The sequence below is a fragment of the Homo sapiens genome, chromosome 16 (assembly GCF_000001405.40).
Source record: "Homo sapiens chromosome 16, GRCh38.p14 Primary Assembly".
Lineage (NCBI taxonomy): Eukaryota > Metazoa > Chordata > Mammalia > Primates > Hominidae > Homo > Homo sapiens.
The window spans coordinates 72957406-72977604 of record NC_000016.10 but is presented as its reverse complement, the minus strand read 5'-3'; the positions used below and the strand labels follow the sequence as shown (position 1 = coordinate 72977604).

The following is a 20199-nucleotide window of genomic DNA, read 5'->3' as shown; positions in this document are numbered from 1 at the left end:
GATTTTTTTCCCCCCACTGACCCACGACAGGGAACTAATAGTTGGGGAACAACTCAAAGTCGAGTGCAGGTTGTACATAGACTTCTAAGAGGTGGTTCATGTTAGTTCCTAGACTTTATGCTTCAATTCTAACTCCTTTAAGAATAAGACTCCCCTCTCTGCAGCATTCCCCATAATGCAGCATGTGTCGTGAGCATGCGACCCTATAAATGGACACTGGTCACGTGAAAGCTGGGCTGAGCCACCTCCTTGTGCAGTGCAGTGAGTGTGTCAACCCGCCAACCCTCAGCACCTCTTCATAAGACCTGGGGAGGCCAGACGCTGCGTCTGGAACCTGCTGCACTGTGTGTGGAGTTTATAAAGTCGCTGGTCCCAGCTTAAAGAGGAACCAAGGCCAAAGAAACCAGGATGGGAATGCAAAGGGCAGGTGAGGAAGTGGGAAACCAGTTGGGTTACCTAAGAGGAGCCAGTAGAAATGAAATCATATCCTTTCTTGTCAACTCGACATCAAAGGAGAAGAAATGCTTATGTGTAGGCCGGTTCAGTGGTTCTGCAATTTCTCATCACCATTTGTGGGATGGCATGCCCTTCATCCCAGAGAAAAACATGTTGGGCTGTCAGGAAATGGTCAACCTAAAATATCCCTAAAATGCCTTTGATGGGTGACTCCCATGTGGACTGAAGGCGAGACCCCCGTGGGGGTTAGAACTCCCGGGGCACTGGCGGAGTTGAACCGAGGTCTCAGGGCCTCCGGGTTCCCCAGCACTGCAGGGTCTCAGGGCGGCGGTGCCACTTGTCCAGCCATGAGATGCCATGGTCAGTGTTTTTAAACACAGTGGACCTCAGTCAGTTCACTGTGACCACACCTTGTTAATAGAAGGACAGATTCTGGCATCAGAGCAGGTAGACTCTGGAATGAGGCGAGCAGTAACCCAGATAATTGTGTTGACATAGTGAATCCCAGTGGCCACGTGGAGTGCTGAGTCCATTTCTACCGGGGTCCTGATCACTGCCTTCCAGTTCCTTCCTTTGCCTGCCTGGACGCTACTGAGAGCAAGCTCGTAGGAGTCTGTATCGACAGGAGGGACGCGCTGTGTATGTTGTAGGCACTCAATAAATATTGTGGCACGAATGAATAAAAATCATTAGAACAACCAGTGAGTAGTTGGATAAGTATTATGCAGAGGAGCTTAAAACTATGACCACTGGGGCTGGAACCCCAGTAGCCTCTGTGTTATTGAAGTCAAAGAAATTGGCCCCATTCACCATCCAGATTTGATTCCCCGAATCTTACCATGGCTTAACATGGGAATCTTTTGGAACTGCAGGAACAGTTGCCAAAATTTGTTCTGGCGCTGTCCAAGATTAGAACTGCTGGCTGGAAGTTTTGGTGGAATGAGCAGAGCTCTAGGCATGAAAGGAGAGAGGGTGCAGCTTCAGAAAGAAAGCTGAAGTTCTTTATGTTAACATGCATTTTTCATATGTTTGTGTGTTTGCACAAATACGCTTCCCCTCTTTCATCCTAGACACTTAGCACAGGGTCTTGATCTACATTGATCACATTTTATGACTTGAGCTGGCAATTTCTCCCCTGGGACCAGACCTAACCAGGGTGTTCAGGAAGCCATTAAGGAAAAATATGTAACCACACTCATTCCCAAACTCAATTGTTCTGTCTTAGCAGTGCTCAGATAAGAGATTTTCAAGCATAATTAATCCAAGTACTATTTAACGTGGCCTTGGTGGTTCTTCTTAGCAGCTGTTGACCCAAACGCAGCATTGGGAGCAGCAAGAGGAGAAAGACCATCTGTGCCATTTTTGCTGAGTTGGTGAGGGTGTAATTATTGCCCACAGTCACTTGGTTCTCTGGGTGGCTTCTGGAAGGTTAAGGAAGTGTGAGCTCTTGGATCCTTACACTTCAAGAAGAAATTTTCCTTTGTTATTTTAGCTAACTATCAGGGCCGCTCTTTGAAGTGGCCAGTGGTAAGTATGTCTCAATATGGATTTCTTGATTAAAAGTAACAGTGCAAATAATGGGCTTTGTAATTACCATGTGGGATGGAGAAGGGGCCATGAAGAAGGGGACATGTGATCACGTTTCATGATCCCCTCTCTTCCCCCTGTACACCCCTCTCTCCTGATTGTATTGTATTTTATTTTGTTTGAGACAGAGTCTCACTCTGTCTTCCAGACTGGAGTGCAGTGGCACGATCAGCTCACTGCAACTTCTGCCTCCCGGGTTCAAGTGATTCTGCTGCCTCAGCCTCCTGAGTTAGCTGGGATCACAGGCGCCTGCCACCATGCCCGGCTAAGTTTTGTATTTTTAGTATAGAGGGTGTTTCACTATGTTGGCCAGGCTTGTCTTGAACTCCTGACCTCCAGTGATCCGCCCACCTCGGCCTCCCAAAGTGCTGGGATTACAGGTATGAGCCACCACACCTGGCCCTGATAGGGTTTTAAGCTTTGGAATTTGGAAGTCTTTCAAACAAACTCAGAGTGCCAGCAGAATCCATGCCCCCTTCAGTCTGTCTCAAAGCCCTTGCGTCCTGGTGGTAGTTCTTGCTGCCGGTTCACTTTACCCTAAGAAAGAGAATCGAGATAGGAGCAACTCTCTGGGCCTCTAGGATTTGAGGACTACTCATGATGAAATAAACCTCTCAAGCCTTCAGTCTAGTGCAGTGAGTTATCTAGGAGGGAATTCAGTGATGGGGTCTCTGTGCATAGCATGCCTCCACCAGATAGGAAGTTGGGTGGAAGCTTAGTACGCACATCCCAAAGGGGTCTCTCGAGGGTGCCCAGTCAAGGCATGGGGAAGACCCCGTGTACGATTTTGCTTTTGCAGTAGGCATCCCCTTTTCATGCCTTTACCAATGTCTCTACCTTACAGTGGCCATTACTGCTTTGTTGAGTGTCCCTTTGGCTTCCCACTGCTTGAAAAGCTCTTTATGCCAGCAGGCCAGGGATATCTGAAGAACTCGCTGTGCCCGTGTTGGTGAGAGGCTGTGTGTGTGTGTGTGTGTGTGTGTGTGTGTGTGTTGCCCTATCAGTGAGCCTCCAAAGGGCAATCCTTGTTTGTTTTGTCATGGTGCCAGTTCCGGAGCCTCGTGCCAGAGCAAGCTGCCGATGGTGAGCCCACCGAGTGGTTTTCTTCCTGCCGAGAGGAAAACACACTCCTTGTTTCAGAGTCATTTTGGAGATAACTGCTGTGGGAAACTTTCCTTCGCCCAAGGCCAGCTCTCACCTCACCCTTACAGGTTTTCCCCATTGTCCTGTGTGTGCCATTTGGCGGAATCATTGCGAGGACGTACCTCTGTCCAGCAACGTTGAATGGTGTTTCCCAGGTGCTCTAATTAGCTGCCACAGGCCCAGAGAAAAGCAGCTGTACCATGTTCTTCATTTGTTCTCAGGTAGATTCGATGTGAATAAAAGAAAACTTAAGGCTCCTGGCTGCTTCTGCCTGCATTCCCCAAACTGCCAAGTGCAAAGAATCTGACCAAGTTCATTTCTCTTGGGTTTGTGCAGCCTTGAATGATAGCACTTACTTCTGTTCCAATTAGTGTTCTGCTGACTAAGAGCTACCTAATAGGAACTTAGGAACCATAGTAGACTCATCTTTCTATTAAACTAGTGAACCCGGCTTTGATAGCCCTTCCCAGGAAGCGGGAACCCAGGGGTTCACTTGCATGTAGTTCATACCTGATTTTTTCTCCTTCCGAGTAGAGTTTTTTTTTGGAGACAAAGTCTTACTCTGTCGCCCAGGCTGGAGTGCAGTGATTTCGATCTCTGCTTACTGCAACCTCCACCTCCCAGGTTCCAGCAATTCTCATGCCTCAGCTCCCCAAGTAACTGGGATTACAGGCGCCCACCACTACGCCTGGCTAATTTTTGTATTTTTAGTGGGTTTCTCCATGTTGGCCAGGCTAGTCTTGAACTCCTGACTTCAGATGATCCACCCGCCTTGGCCTCCCAAAGTGCTGGGATTACAAGTGTGAGCCACCATGCCTGGCCAATAGGCGAGGATTTTATTGGCCAAGTACAACTTGAGCTTGTGCTTCTTTAAGGATATCCCAGGTTTGGATGAGTGTTGAGGAAGAGAAAGGCTATTCAAAGGGCCTGGGGTTGTGGGAACAGAGTTGATAATGCATCAGAATGCAGAGATGATGGGGAGGAATCCTAGTTGGAGGGAAACGACACAGGTGATTGAATGGTAGTGTTAGTGGTAGATCTTGGGGTGATTTGAAACCGCTCTGGAGAGTTTCAGTTTGAATGTGTTTTGGTAGTTGTTTCTTGGATGGGGAAGGATGGGGATGAACATGATATTGGGAAAGCCAGACTGATCTTTCCTTTCTGTTTTCTGCAAAGATGGCACCAAAAGTTCCTTCCAGAGAGACCAGGGCCGACAGTGAGGGGGCAGTGTCCTTTGGACATGTTGAGCCATGCTGAGTCTTGGTTGGTGGGACACTAGGCATGTACAGACATCTTCTGGTCTTCTGAAAGTATGAGACACATATTCAAGTGCCAAGTCAGGAATGGACATTTTTGCTTTGGGAGTCAGCTCGTAATTTCAGTAATTGAAACCGCAGAAGTAGTTAAGGTAGCTGATGTACAGAGTTAAGAGCAGAGAGCCAAGGGGGAAGAGTACAATGACGCTTAAATACCTACAGGAGAACAGGGAGGAGAGATGTCTGTGAGTTGAAATGATAAAAGAATTTTATCGAATAAGTGGAAAATGTACCCATGGAGAGCTGTAGGAATGGGGAGAGGACAGGCAATGTAGAGATGACAGAGGTGGGAGGAGGGCCAGAATATGTCAGAAGTGAAGTGGGGGAAGATTTCAAGGAGTAGAGGGGGAAGCAGTTTTGAATGCAGGGGAGATTGAAGCTTAAAGTAGAGGAGGAGGAACCATTGACCAAGACCAGGAGGACACCGATGACTTTGGACAGAGGACAGAAATCTTGGCGACATAGTGCCTTCCCACCCTCCCGGAGCAGATACCCAGCCCTTCAGAGAGCTAGTCTTGTGCTCTGGGCTGGGGCTTGACATCCATATGTATTTTTATTGTGCCGCATAGTTGGTTCCACTGCACAAGAAAGCTTGAAAATGATTGATGCAGTTTGGCCCTTTATAATCACATAAAGGAGGGGGACTTCACTTGAATACAGGAAAATTGATGTGGAGCAAATGAAGCAGTGGACAGAGTCCACTCTTTGGATGGAGTTGAGATCTGAAGGACAGAGAACATCTTCTGAACTGGCAGTGTAAGTAGGTCAGACTCTCTCCTGTCCAGGAGCTTATAGGATGGTGGACTGGTAGGAACTCAAGGGGGAGGGATCACCAGTCAAATTCTGCAAAACCCTTTCATTACTCACTCAGAAAAGGACAACACACACCTGCCATAGAAATAACAGGCAAGGCCGGGCATGAATGCTCACACCTGTAATCCCAGCACTTTAGGTGGCCGAGGTGGGTGGATCACCTGAGGTCAGGAGTTCAAGACCAGCCTGGCCAACATGGTGAAACCCTGACTCTACTAAAACTACAAAAAATTAGCCGGCCGTGATGGTGCACACCTGCACCTGTAATCCCAGTTGCTTGGGAGGCTGAGGCAGGAGAATCGCTTGAATGCAGGAGGTGGAGGTTGCAGTGAGCTGAGATCGCCCCATTGTACTCCAACCTGGGCAGCAGGGTGAAACTCCGTCTCAAAAAAAAAAAAAAAAAAAAAAAAATTAATAGGCAGTTCACAAAAGAAATGTAGACTGCCAGTAAATATCCATAGATGGGTTCTGTCTTATGAGTAAAGAATGTGAGTTAAAATGAGATGCCATTTCTTGCCTGTCAAACGGACTTTTAAAAATAACAAAGTAAATACCCACTGTTGATGAGGGTGCAGGAAAACTGGTGCTCACACACCAGTGCAAGCAGGAGTGGAAAGGACTTTCCTGGGGGACAGTTTGGCACGTTCCAGAGGGCCTTAAATGTTCCTAGCATTTGAGTCAGCAACTCTACTTCCAGAAATGCATCCTAAGGCAATACAGACACAACGTCATGAGTAAGAGCCTAGTTTTAGAGTGGTAAGGGAGGCTTACCTACTTTCAAAGGCCGACTAAACTAGCATGCAGCTTGGGCAAGGTACTTAACTCTCTAAGCCTCAGTTTCCTCACCTGTAAAGTGGGCTGCCGCAAGGATCAAACAAAACAACATGTTCAGAAAAATAGTGCTCAAAACCATGCTTGATTCAACCAGGTGGACAGTAATGGAGCTACTACTTGGTTTGTTGTTTTTGTTGTTGTTGTTATATGTGTACAAAGATTTAAGGGCCCTTATTGCAAAATGAACAGCAAAATATTGGGAATTGTTTAAATGTCTAATAATAGCATTTGGTGGAAATTATGCAATGTGTATAAGATATAGTATCTATATAGCCATTAGTTTTAACTTATGAAGAATATTGAATGGCATAGGAAAAATTTCATACTAAATTAGGTTAAAAGGGCGGCCTACATAAACAGCAGCGTGATCCGAGGTAGGTAAGGAAAATCTGTATCTGTAAACGTGCAGAGGAAAAAAGCCCGAAAAACTACCTACCAGTGGTTCTCTAGCTGGTGGAATTGTCAGTGATTTTAACTTTAGCTGCTGAGTCTTTTTGTACATATCCAAATTTTTAAAATAATGAACTCCCACAACTTTAATCATAAGACATGATTTAACATAAATTTGACATCATGACATGCCAGATTGAAACTGTAATGGGCCAGATGGCACGTTTTTACATTGTCTCCTAGCTTTTGCCCTATAATCCCAATAGCAAGAGTGGAGAGAGAGTAGAAATAGGATCTTGGAGAGGGACTTTGAGGAAATTGGGAGGAGATGAAAAAGCCTTGAGTGCTGGCAAAGGAAACACATAAGTGTTGGTTATGGTTAGTGTCAGAAGGTGTCCGGTTTAGCCGGGAAAGTGCCAGAAGATGGGTGAAGGTTGGGGTTGTGAGCTGCGGGCTTGCAAGGTAGGAGAGGTGGGTTGGTACAGTCAGGTAAAGCAATGGTATTTGGTGAAAGGAGGTTCTGCTGCAAATCCGGGAGGGGATCCGTGCTCTATGGTAATTAAATCCAAGTCAGGAGCACCAGTCAAGCCAGTCATGGGCACACGATGCTTGTCTTTCTTGTTGTGGAAATGGTGGAAAGGCCTCCACGTGACTCAGGGTAGAGACTTACGTACTCAAGTGTGAGATACAGTTACTATAGCTGTTTAAATTGCCCCAAATCCCTTTTTAGAACAAGGCAGAGCATAAATAATAGCTGGTTTGTCTTGCTTTTTATTATTATATTCATGGGTTTGGTTTTGATTCATGGTGGTTGAACTCTGAGTATGTTTACATATATAGTAAAAAAAAAAAAAATCTTTTTTAATTCCTCTAAGTACACACAGACTGGGTTCCTAGACCTGCCTCCGCTGTCACGACTCTCTCCTGTTGCCCTCCACGACTCCACTGTAACCAGAATATCATGGTGGTTGTGGATTCCCTGCAGAATGGGCTGAGCTAGCAGTTTTCACTTCTAGGCTGATTTATGTTCATGCTGGAAATAGCACAGATGCACTTATTAGCAAACATGGAGGCCCACGGCCTGGGCGATTCTCTGGGCCTTCTGGGCAGTGGGCGTCCGGCAGCACAAGGCGCCTGTTCAAGCACCTGTGTGTTCTCCGACCTGGCCACACTTGCAGAGCAATCCTGAAGGCTGCTGGGAAATTGCTACCAAGCAGATGGAATCACCTATGTATGGCTTAACACATATTGACTTCTGTGCAGCAGCAGTAGACAAACACTGTTATTGTAAAAAAACACAGAAGGGAACTGGGTATGGTTCTTCAGTGGATTCCAAGCTAAACAGATGCAGGTATTATTTCTTTGACCCTTGAAGGAGGTTTCACCTTCTCTTGGAATCTGGGTTGCCTTTGTTTTTCTGTTTTTGTTTTTTTAAGGAGGTGGGGTTAGTGAGGGGATAGTTGCTTCAGTGTAGTGTGTTTTTCTCTCTGATATGTTTTAGCCTGGATTTAACAATGCTCACACTCTGGGGGCTGCTGGAGTTCTCCTTTTCTCTGGGGGCTGCCCTCGTCCTTTTACTTAGAATCACTTTTCACAAAGTTAGGGAACTTTGCGAAAGTTCCCTAGGGAACTAGGGAAATCAGCCCACAGTCAGGATCATGAGTGTCACGGGGAAACGGCTCAGTATTGTATTACGTGAAGTTCTGCCCAAGTTGGAATGGCCATTTATTTGTCTTCTCCAACTGGAAGGCTCCACCTAGAAGCCTCTTGGCTGGAGGAAGGGGAGACCAGTTTTCAGTTTTTGTCTCTCTACACCTCTCTGTCCAGCCTCACAGCCACTTCCTTTTTTGAAGCTCTGCTGGGAGCAAATTTCACATAAAGATTAAAGATACGCATGTCAGGGTGGGTTGACTCTTCGTTTATAGTTTTGGGGGGTTACTATGTCGAATTTTTACTCTGGACAGTTTCTTTTTCTTTTAACAATTTCAAGTGTACAGGGAAGTTTTAACAGTAGAACAAAGAATTCTCGTGTCCTCCTTCTAGACTCCTCCTATGGTAACATCTCATATATTTATTCCTGCTGTATATATGTAGGTACATATATATGTGTGTATATATGTGTATGTGTATGTATGTATATACTGATACACATACACACACTTACACACTCACATATTTTTTCCTAACCCATTTGAAAATCGAGGCATTGTGCCCCTTCACCTCTAAATATACCAGTGTGTATTTTAAAAAACAAAGACATTCTCTTTTATAACCACACTGCAGTTATCAGAATTAGGAAATGAGGCTGGGCACAGTGGCTCATGCCTGTAATCTCAGCACTTTGACAGGCTGAGGTGGGCGGATCACTGGAGGTCAGGAGTTCGAAACTAGCCTGGCCAGTGTGGTGAAACCCTGTCTCTATTAAAAATATGAAAAAATTAGCCAGGCGTGGTGGTGGGCATCTGTAGTTCCAGCTACTTAGGAGGCTGAGGCAGAAGAATTGCTTGAACCTGGGCGACAGAGGTTGTAGTGAGCTGAGACTGCGCCACTGCACTCCAGCCTGGACGACAGAGCGAGACTCTGTCTCAAAAAAAAAAAAAAAAAAGGAAATTAACATTCATATGCCACTATTAGCCCATCTACAAAACCTTATTCAGATTTTGTCAGTTGTCCCAGTTATGTCCTTTAGAGGAAAAGAAGATCCCAGATTATGCATAACGTTCATTAGTCATGTCTCCTTAGTCTCTTTTAATCTGAAACAGTTCTTCAGTCTGTCTTTCCGTTGCATGGCCCTGACATTTCTAAAAAGCATAGGACATTCTGCAGACTGTCCTCAGTTGGATTTGCCTGATGTTCCCTCATGATTAGATTCCGGTTGTGCGTTTTTGACAGGAACACCAGGGAAGGGATGTTGTGTTCCTCTCGGTGTATCCTACCAGGAGGCACATGACGTCTGTTTGCCCCACTGCTGGTGATGGGAACTTTGATCACTCAATGAAGGTGGTGTCTGCCAGGTTCTCCACAGTGAAGTTATTGTTGTTGTTTTTTTTTTTCCTGCTATAATTAAGAAGTATCCTGTGGGGAGAGACTTTGAGATTGTAAATATCCTGTTAGTATTCAAACTTTTTTTTTTTTTTTTAGATGGGGTCTCTCTCTGTCACCCAGGATAGAGTGCAGTGGCACGATCTCGGCTCACTGCAAGTTGTGTCTCCCGGGTTCACGCCATTCTCCTGCCTCAGCCTCCTGAGTAGCTGGGACTACAGGCGCCCGCCACCACGCCCGGCTAATTTTTTTTTTTTTTTTTTGTATTTTTAGTAGAGACGGGGTTTCACCGTGTTAGCCAGGATGGTCTCGATTACCTGGCCTCGTGATCTGCCCGCCTCGGCCTCCCAAAGTGCTGGGATTACAGGCGTGAGCCACCGCTCCCGGAAGTATTCAAACTTTCATCCATTAGTTTGGGTACCCATTGATTCTTCCCTGAGTGGATGATGATGAAGATGATGATGGTTATCAAATGGTGATTTTCTAACTCCATACTCTTTTTCTACGTTTATTAGTTGAGTTTCTACCCTGTGGAAGAACTTTCCTTTCTCCCACACTTTTTTTTTTCTTAAAGTAGGGACTTGGGGATTGTTATGTTACACATTGGGTTGCAATCACTTACTGTCACTTAATTTTCTTGCTCACGTTGTCCCTGATGTGGCCACTGGGAGCCCCTCCAACCCACTCCTAGGTCATTTTGACACATCTTCCTTATTCTTTGAGCACAAGTAGATGCTCCGAGCTCATCTTGAACTTTTCCTGCTCCAGCCCAAGAATTGGCCATGTCTCCAAGGAGCCCCAGTTCCATTTTGTGGAGAATGGTTACACCAGACACGTCTTAAACTAAGAGAAAAAAAGAAAAGGAATGGATTCAGGGATCCTCTTTTTTCCTATTTCCCCCATTGTTTTATTAAGCACCTATTACATGTCAGATGTGGAGGACTCAGAGATGAATAGCACAGGGAACCTGATCTCATGCCACTCATAGCCTTGTGGTGGGGACAGACAAGCCCATAGATAACACCCAGGAATGAGAAGAATCTTCACCTTTCATAGGCTGCCTGATACAGCCCCCTGGCCATAGCACAATCCCCTTCTCCATTCTTGAAGCCACAGAGTGCAGTATTTCACAGCATAAACATTCCATTTGGGAACTGTGATAATCTTGAGAAAGATTTTCATTTATAGTGACCCCACCTCTCTTTCCTTATAGATTCCCCTCATTGCCCCTAATTCAACCCTGGAACTAGGTGGAACCCATAGAACCAAACCCACTTGCCTGTGGCAGGCAGGGTTTCATATAGCCGAGGATAGCTGCCTTGCCCTGCAACGGGACTTCTCTTCCCTGCACCCGTGAATGGTGTGTGTGTTCAGCCATTCCGATGAGGCTACAGCTTCTTTGTTGGTATCTCTCTTAGGAGATTCCCTGGAGTGGTTCCTAACATTATTCACGCAGACAGAGAAAGTGATGGGCTGTGGACCTGCTGAGCTCCAACAGGTACAGAGTAGTACTGTTGCCAAAGGCCCCATTATGGTCTTTGGCCACCATGCCAACTTCGGGCTTCCTCTGAGTTTGTCATCAAGTAAAACTCCTAGATATTTTGTTATTGTTGTTTGCATGAACTCTTATGACTCCAAGTCTCTTCCATCCTCTATTGGTTTAGCAGATTGCCTGAAGTTAAATGTAGGGCTTCATGTTTTTCCATCTAAAGTTTTGTTCTGTTAGTTTGGGCCTGTTGTTCCAACTCATGGAGATTTTTTTCCTCAGTCTTGATTCCACCGTTGAGCATTTTAATTGTTCCCTCGAGTCTGGTGTGCTCTGCAAGTGGACATGCCTGCATGGTCTTGTTCCTCAAGCTGTTGATTTCAGTCAGCCAAATAGGGACAAGACAGAGCCTTGTTGGCGTGTCCCGAGACACACGGACCTCTGTGTTGACGCTTAAAATAATGGCATCATTAGTCGGCTATAAAATTGGCCACAGTTTATTATCTGAAAGCCATTTTGCCATCCTGGATATAAAGAAATGATAAATTTTGTGCTACCTTATTAAGATAAAAAAGCAGACTTTATTGTATTTCTCAGATCATTAAGTCTAAGTAAGGGTATTTTTCGGTTTATTTTATGTGGGTTTTCTTACTGGACCTACAGCTAATCGCTAATTCCTCAGGATCATCCCACCCCTAAAATTCTTTTCCAGCAACTTGAATCTGTTTGAAAACTATGAAGAACTTACAGTATATGCTTTACAACATATTCTTGAAGTATTTCCATATCCATTAAGTCACTCTGACATTGTGACTTTCTCCAAAACGATGCACACACATCACTCTTTCCCCTTCTCTTGTTTTATATTACTTTATATTGCTTTTTATTTGAGTGTATTTGTGTGTGGTCTCTCTTCTCTACAAGAATGTAAGCCGAGACCTTTTAGCATGGATTCTGTAGCATCTGACTGACACATAGTACATGCTCAGTAAATGCTGAACGAATGAATATGTTTCCTGATCTGTAGGTTCTGGAACCTGCCTTTTGTCCTTCTTTAAAAATCAGGATATTGGACCTACATTTCAGTTCTTTGCAGCAGCTTCTCCTACCTCCTTTATCCTCTCTTGTCTGCCTAAAGATATCCAAGCAAATCAGTCTGCTTTGAACTGTTCCCCTCACCCCCATCACTCTCAAGCAAGAAAAGGGCGTTTGGGTGAGATGCCAGCGTTCTTTTGCATGAGCAGTCCTGGGATCCCATCACCTTAGGACAGTCCCTGGGTGCTTAAAGACTGAGTGTGAATGTGAGATGTAGGGATGTTCTAGTGTTCTCTTTTGAAAATTAGACATTAAAGAAAAACAGGCCAGGTGCGGTGGCTCACGCCTGTAATCCCAGCACTTTGGGAGGCCGAGGCGGGCAGATTGCCTGAGCTCAGGAGTTTGAGACCAGCCTGGCCAACATGGTGAAACCCCATCTATACTAAAACTACAAAAAGTTAGCCAGACGTGGTGGTGGTCGCCTGTAGGCCCAGCTACTCAGGAGGGTGAGGCAGGAGAATCGCTTGAGCCCAAGAGGCAGAGGTTGCAGTGAGCTGAGATCGCACCACTGCACTCCAGCCTGGGTGACAAAGGAAAACTGCCTGAAAGCATAGACTCCACACCCATACTCTCCGGTTTGTCAGTCAGGCTGCATAACTGGGCCACCTCAGTTTTCCCATTTCTAAAATGGGGATAAAAATAGTATCTATCTCCTAGTGTGGGTATGAGGATCAAAGTGATGCTGTACCCATGGGTCTTAACACAACACCTAACTCATTAAGTGATGACTTCCAGTATGATGGTTTTCAATTTTTTTCCTTTTTTTTTTTTTTTAAATAGACCAAGTCTCATTTTGTCACCCAGGCTGGAATGCAGTGGCCCGATCGTAGCTCACTGCAGCCTTGAACTCCTGGGCTCTAGCAATCCTACTGTCTCAATGATGGTTTTAATTTTAAAGAGCTTTGGGAAATAAAGGCACATAGGAGGAAATGAAGTCACCTATACCTCATTCCCTAGAATTCACAGTTGTAAAAATTGTAATATAAGTCTCTCCTGTTTTCCTCTCCATAATACCTATATGTGCTGTGTTCATTTAGCATCTGTATGATCATTTTCCCATGCTTATAAATAGTTTCTTTGAAGAAAGCATCTTTATAACAACATATGGAGCTCTGTGCACTGTAATTTATTTAGGGTCTGTTTTTGCCCAAATTTTTCCTCTTTTTTCCTGTTATGTTTTTCATGAATAAACTTAAATCTCCATGCATTGCTTGGGTTCTTTCCTTATGATGAATTCCTAGAACGGGGAATTGTTGAGTCAACGGGGAGGGATGTGCACTTCTGAGGCCTTTGATGTATGCTGCCTGGTCGCCTGTAGGAAGGCGGTATTCACTGCTTCTCCCTCCGGCAGAGCAGGGGATCACCCAGGGAATCAGGCATCCTTGCCTGCTGGCTGATGTCTCTTGAGTGATCCCGCATGGGATATTCTTGGAGGCAACAGTTTCTCACTGCCTCTATTCTCTCTTTGTTTTTCCTCCCTTCCCCTTTGTTTCCCTTCTTGGTTTCCTACCAGACAGCCTCTTGTGAAAGGACTGCCTAATTAACCCTGTGCTAATTAACAATTTAAAATTACACAGTGCGACTGTTCATGTTTCATTCTCCGGGAGCTGGAGCAACAGCAGGAGCCCCCTCCCCTTCGTCATAACTGCACCCCTCCCACCCCAGCTTCCCTGAAACTGTTGCATTTTACCCAGTTCTGCCTCAAGGGAACAGGATAAAACTGTCATCAGCACATGTTTTTAAAGAGGGAGATGAACGTTTTGATTAATAGGGAGATACAGGGTAACAGGGTAGAGTTTTATCCTTTTAAACAATCTTTGAAAAGTAAAGATTGACATTTGCAAAGATGCAGTGGGCTTTACAGGTGGTTCCAAGGGAGCTTGGAAGATGAGCAGGAGTTGGGGGATACTTGATGAAGGTGCTGGAATTCTTCTGTACAAGATTACCTTTCAGATGGCAGATTTAAGTGCTAAGCAGACAGTGAGCCAGCTAGGTCATTCCTATCTTCCCTTTAACTTTCTCACTGGAGAGATGTGCTCTATTAAAATCTAACTGAATTCTTGAAGCCCATATGTTGAGTGCAACATTGGGGGTTGTGAGCAGAATACCTGGACATTTTTTAGAGGGAGTTCCGGGTGCCACCAGCAGAGAAGCGGGCTGCAGGAAGGGAGGAGGGGTGTGAACCTGTACCAGCTAGCCCTGGCACTAGGGAAGTACTGGGAAGGGGCACAGAACGTGGAGGGAGCCTGAAGAGAGGTGTGCGTGTCAGGCTGGCAGGGCTGCTTGGAAAAGTGCGGGGACCCACTGGGTTCCCAGGCTGCCCTCTGTAACTGAAGATCATTGATTTTACGGGAAACCGTGTTTACAGACAGAGTGCTGATCGACCTGCCGAGTTGACTTCTGCCTCCTTAAGTAAGAACTACCTTTTTCTTATTGACTGGCTGATAAACAGAGCGAGAGAGAGCCGGCTGTTGCGGGGGAGTGGTAGATGCCCTGAGACCCTTGAGCCACAGGATGTGGCGGATTGGGGAGACTTCTTTACCTCTGTGCGCGCGTCCCCCTCTTCTCCATCTCCATCCCTGCACCTCCCAGGGACCACAGGGAATCTAAGACTGACCTTCCCTGGTTACCTAGCAATACAGGTACCAAGGACAGAAGAGCTGTGCTTGGTACCTGTATTGGTGAAGATGGAGTGAAGCAGAGAGTGTCTTAAGTTTAATGCATGGTCCCTGAGGATGGTGTGAAAATGCAGATTCTGATGGGGCAGGAGGAGACAGTGCATGTCTCTTAAGCTCCCCGGAGAGGATAATGCTTCAAGTCCACAAACCACGCTTGTTTGGCAAGGCTGCAAACGGGCCTGTTTGTCACAGCTGGTGCGCATGGAAAGGAGGCCCAGGGGAGGTAGCTTGGGTCCTGCAGTGGGTTCCTCCTCTCCGACCCGTGTCCTCATGGCTGCTGCTCCCCGTGAATGGGTGGGCTCTAGTGTCACCACCACAGGGTCACCAGCCACCATCATAGGTGGGTACAGTGTCATTCTTTCCTGACATCTTCCGCTTTGGAGTAGAAAACAAAGTAAGGGAGGTTTTAAAAGTCCCAGCCTCTTGGCTGGATAGTTTGTGGAAGAGGAGGAGGAATAAGAGGAGAACGGAGCAAGAGAAGCCCACCAATTAATTGGTAAACGCTTGCAGGTTTCTCTGGCCCAGCCCAGGCTGGAGAGGAGATTGGCTTTGCTGTCGATAAACAAGTCCCTGGTGCAGCATCAAAGCTGTTCTGCTTTATCAATCGTGGCCCCCCCTTCCCGCATGTTCCTGTAACTTACCAAGCATTTATGACATTGATTTTACAATCGGGCTGTTAACCCTCCCGCCCCTTCAGGCCTGCCAACCTTTTTGGCCCAAGCTATCAATCAGATGTCATCCAGCCAATCAGAAGCATCCCTAAGAAGAGCCGCCCTGCAGTCTCACCTGTATCCCGGCTCAGCCTTGCGAGGAAGTCCCATTGCGTTTGCTGTTTGGTTTGGTTTGGTTTGGTTTGGTTTGGTTTGGTTTGGTTTGGTTTACTGTAGTCATCTCTGTTTTAAGTCAGTATGTCCTTTCTAAGGCTCATGGAACTTTGTGGTTGCAAAATCTGAAGTTATAAATGGAGAGATAGGGGTATGTGTTTGCATGTGTGTATTAGACACATCATAGCTTTATTCTTCCAAAAAGTTATTTCTCCCTGAGACTTCTGGTAAACCTGCCTTCCCCAGTTTTTCCCGAGGGGGAGCTGTTGTCTCATTGTGCAGTCAATAATCAAGAAATGAAAAAAAAAAAAGATTGAGAAGATAGGGGCTGTCAGGGAGGGAAGTGAGATCAAACCTGGCCGAAACCTTCACCGGCTGAGTGTGAATGAGATGGTGGGTGGAGGAGCAGCCACATGTTCTCCAGGAGGAGCAGCAGGGGAATGGTGGCTGGGGACCTACGGGCAAAGGATCAGGGCTCTGCGAGGTGCTGAGCTGCCTGTAGGAGCAGGGCCAGACGGAATGATCGCCCCTGCGATGATATTACTGCAGGAGCAGAGCGGCCGTGATCCGATGCCTCCCTCCCCAGGGACATGAGGTCTCAGAGGGCACATTCAGCTCAGTGGCACTTTGGAGTCGGAAATGGAAAAGCCCCAGGGCTGAACGACAGCTGGTTGGGTAGCGACTAATAACTAAGAGGCAGGTGTGGAGCTGGGGCTCGCCGAGCCCAGCTGCCGTCTCGGCTTGCTGCTCAGATCCTTGATAGCAAAAACCACCAGGCACGTGGGGAACGCACTCCCTCCAGCCAGGGCCAGATAGAAGCTGCTGGAGGGGGTGTTGGCAGATCCAGAGTCTGGTCCATTCCTGCTGGAAATACCAAGCTCACGTTTTGCACCTACGTAGTTTTAGTCTGAAGTCAGCTAGAGTCACAGGCCAGGGAGCTTGACTGGTATGGGTGGAGGAGACAGGAATCTGGGGACCCATCTTTTCTTCTGTTTCATGGTGGTGAGATTAGCACTGAGCCAGTTTTTAGATTGAAGCCCCTCTGTTTTACTGCTTGTAAAATGGGACTGACGCCTCCCAGATCTGGAGAGGACTTTTCGGAGTGTGTCTAGTCCTGTACACCTGCCCTGTGAACCTCAGGGTCCTCACCCGCCTTCTTTGAACTTCTCAAACTAGAACCATGGTCAGTAAAAGCGACGGCTGCAATTGTTCTAAATCCATGAGCGTTATCCCACTTTACCGTCCTTTTTCCAGGGACATTGAACCTCCCTCTTCTCAGCCCTCCCCTGTGTTCCCCTGACCCACAGACAGTGCGCGGAGTCGGGGCTGACTTCGTGTGAGCTGTCCATAAGTGGTAGGGCTGTGGCTGTGACCTCGTAGAGGGCTGGAGAGATGACGCGTCCGTTCTCCACTGTGGCCCATCGAAGCTATGCTGGCAAAGAATGGAAATTCCCGCTAGTCTTCAGGGGCAGAGCGGTGACAATTCGAAGCCGAAGAGGGCTGTTCCTGGCCTTCTTTCCCCATATCCCTCGCTCAGGCTGTTGACCCGGCCATGCCACCCCTGTGTGCTGGACCGTGTGGGGCAGTGTCCCCAGGCCCGCCCTCCGCCCTGTGTCTCTGTGTTGTGGACAGAAGCCTCTTAGAGCGCTCCGTGCGGTAGGACCTCAGCCTCGGCCCTCCTAACCTCTTTCCTTTCTCTCTCTCTTTCCCCTCTCTCCCTCCTCCCCCCTTGCCTCTGCCCTTCAGGTCCGAGCCTCCGTACTGGGTGCAATGAAAGCTCCACGCAGGCCTTACCATGGAAGGCTGTGACTCGCCCGTCGTCTCGGGGAAGGACAATGGGTGCGGTATCCCTCAGCACCAGCAATGGACTGAACTCAACAGCACCCACCTCCCTGACAAACCCAGTAGCATGGAGCAGTCCACAGGCGAGAGCCACGGGCCCTTGGACAGCCTGAGGGCCCCCTTCAATGAGCGCCTCGCGGAGAGCACCGCGTCGGCCGGGCCCCCCTCCGAGCCCGCCAGCAAGGAGGTCACCTGCAACGAATGTTCGGCCTCCTTTGCCAGCCTCCAGACCTACATGGAGCACCACTGCCCCAGCGCGCGCCCCCCGCCACCCCTGAGAGAGGAGAGCGCCAGCGACACCGGTGAGGAGGGGGACGAGGAGAGTGACGTGGAGAACCTGGCCGGGGAGATCGTCTACCAGCCGGACGGCTCCGCGTACATTGTGGAGAGCCTGAGCCAGCTGACCCAGGGCGGGGGCGCCTGTGGGAGTGGCAGTGGCAGTGGGCCTCTCCCCTCGCTTTTCCTGAACTCTCTCCCTGGCGCGGGGGGCAAGCAAGGGGACCCTTCGTGTGCTGCACCCGTGTACCCGCAGATCATCAACACTTTCCACATAGCCTCATCCTTCGGGAAATGGTTTGAGGGCCCAGACCAGGCTTTCCCGAATACCTCAGCCCTGGCGGGGCTCAGCCCCGTCCTGCACAGCTTCCGCGTGTTTGACGTGCGACACAAAAGCAACAAGGATTACCTGAACAGCGACGGTTCTGCCAAAAGCTCCTGCGTATCCAAAGATGTTCCCAACAATGTGGACCTGTCCAAATTCGATGGCTTTGTGCTCTATGGCAAGAGGAAGCCCATCCTGATGTGTTTCTTGTGCAAACTCTCCTTTGGGTACGTCCGTTCGTTTGTGACCCACGCGGTGCATGACCATCGAATGACCCTGAGCGAAGACGAGCGGAAAATTCTTAGCAATAAGAACATCTCCGCTATCATCCAAGGGATCGGCAAAGACAAGGAACCCCTTGTAAGTTTTCTGGAACCAAAAAACAAAAACTTTCAACACCCTTTAGTTTCCACAGCTAACCTCATAGGCCCCGGACACAGTTTTTATGGTAAATTTAGTGGCATTCGAATGGAAGGGGAGGAAGCTCTCCCAGCGGGCTCCGCCGCTGGCCCCGAGCAGCCCCAGGCTGGTCTCTTGACCCCCAGCACCCTGTTGAACCTTGGCGGGCTCACCAGCTCGGTACTGAAGACCCCCATTACCTCAGTCCCCCTGGGGCCTCTGGCTTCCAGTCCTACCAAATCCTCAGAGGGCAAGGACTCTGGGGCGGCAGAAGGAGAGAAGCAGGAAGTGGGCGACGGGGATTGCTTCTCTGAGAAGGTAGAGCCAGCCGAAGAGGAGGCGGAGGAGGAAGAGGAGGAGGAAGAGGCGGAGGAGGAGGAGGAAGAAGAGGAGGAGGAAGAAGAGGAGGAGGAAGACGAGGGTTGCAAAGGACTCTTTCCAAGCGAGTTGGATGAGGAACTGGAGGACAGGCCCCATGAGGAGCCTGGGGCCGCAGCAGGTAGTAGCAGCAAAAAGGACCTTGCTCTCTCAAACCAAAGCATTTCTAACTCCCCCTTAATGCCTAACGTGCTCCAGACCCTGTCGAGGGGCACAGCTTCTACTAGTTCTAATTCTGCTTCTTCCTTTGTTGTCTTTGATGGTGCGAACAGGAGGAATCGTTTAAGCTTTAACAGTGAGGGCGTCAGGGCCAATGTGGCAGAGGGCGGCAGGAGGCTGGACTTCGCTGACGAAAGTGCCAATAAAGACAATGCCACAGCACCAGAACCAAATGAAAGCACAGAGGGTGACGATGGGGGCTTCGTTCCCCATCACCAGCACGCTGGCTCCCTCTGCGAGCTTGGGGTTGGGGAGTGCCCCTCGGGGAGTGGCGTGGAGTGCCCCAAATGCGACACGGTCCTGGGCTCCTCCCGCTCGCTGGGCGGCCACATGACCATGATGCATTCTCGTAACTCGTGTAAGACACTCAAGTGCCCCAAGTGCAACTGGCACTATAAGTACCAGCAGACCCTGGAGGCACACATGAAGGAGAAGCACCCGGAGCCGGGGGGCTCCTGTGTCTACTGCAAAAGCGGGCAGCCCCACCCCCGGCTGGCACGAGGCGAGAGCTACACGTGTGGTTACAAGCCTTTCCGCTGCGAGGTGTGTAACTACTCCACAACTACCAAAGGCAACCTCAGTATTCATATGCAGTCTGACAAGCATCTCAACAACATGCAGAACCTGCAGAATGGAGGGGGGGAGCAGGTCTTCAGCCACACTGCCGGGGCGGCGGCGGCGGCGGTGGCTGCGGCGGCGGCGGCAGCCAATATCAGTAGCTCCTGCGGGGCCCCCTCGCCGACCAAACCAAAAACCAAACCCACCTGGCGGTGCGAGGTGTGTGATTATGAGACCAACGTGGCCAGGAACCTCCGCATTCACATGACCAGTGAGAAGCACATGCATAACATGATGTTACTGCAACAGAACATGACCCAGATCCAACACAACCGCCACCTGGGCCTCGGCAGCCTGCCCTCACCCGCCGAGGCCGAGCTCTACCAATACTACCTGGCCCAGAACATGAACCTGCCCAACCTGAAGATGGACAGTGCTGCCTCGGACGCCCAGTTCATGATGAGCGGATTCCAGCTGGATCCCGCCGGGCCCATGGCCGCCATGACGCCTGCTCTAGGTGAGGATGACTACGTGTTTG

The 20199-nt window shown here is 48.4% G+C and overlaps 1 protein-coding gene across 9 annotated transcripts in view, besides 1 other annotated feature; it reads left to right on the top strand.

Annotated features, from left to right (window-relative positions):
* ZFHX3 (zinc finger homeobox 3) overlaps positions 1-20199 on the top strand; it is a 1109046-nt gene that overhangs the window by 914326 nt on the left and 174521 nt on the right. For 4 of the 9 annotated variants that reach the window (NM_001386735.1, XM_047434166.1, NM_006885.4 and 1 more), the window contains one exon: positions 17411-20178. The exons of 3 other annotated variants lie outside the window; for them this stretch is intronic. In NM_001386735.1, coding sequence (NP_001373664.1) covers positions 17460-20178 — 2719 coding nt within the window. In that variant the 5' untranslated portion in view covers positions 17411-17459. Of the gene's footprint in view, positions 1-9685; positions 20179-20199 lie in introns of those variants that run through there. 2 more of the 9 variants (XM_047434165.1, XM_047434168.1) reach the window with 2 other exon arrangements.
* Positions 15829-16329: an enhancer, noted in NCBI's record as "H3K4me1 hESC enhancer chr16:72995175-72995675 (GRCh37/hg19 assembly coordinates)". NCBI's record gives its function as "activates a minimal SCP1, AML or CMV promoter by ChIP-STARR-seq in naive H9 embryonic stem cells {active_cell/tissue: H9 hESC(naive)}" and the evidence as "EXISTENCE:reporter gene assay evidence [ECO:0000049][PMID:30033119]".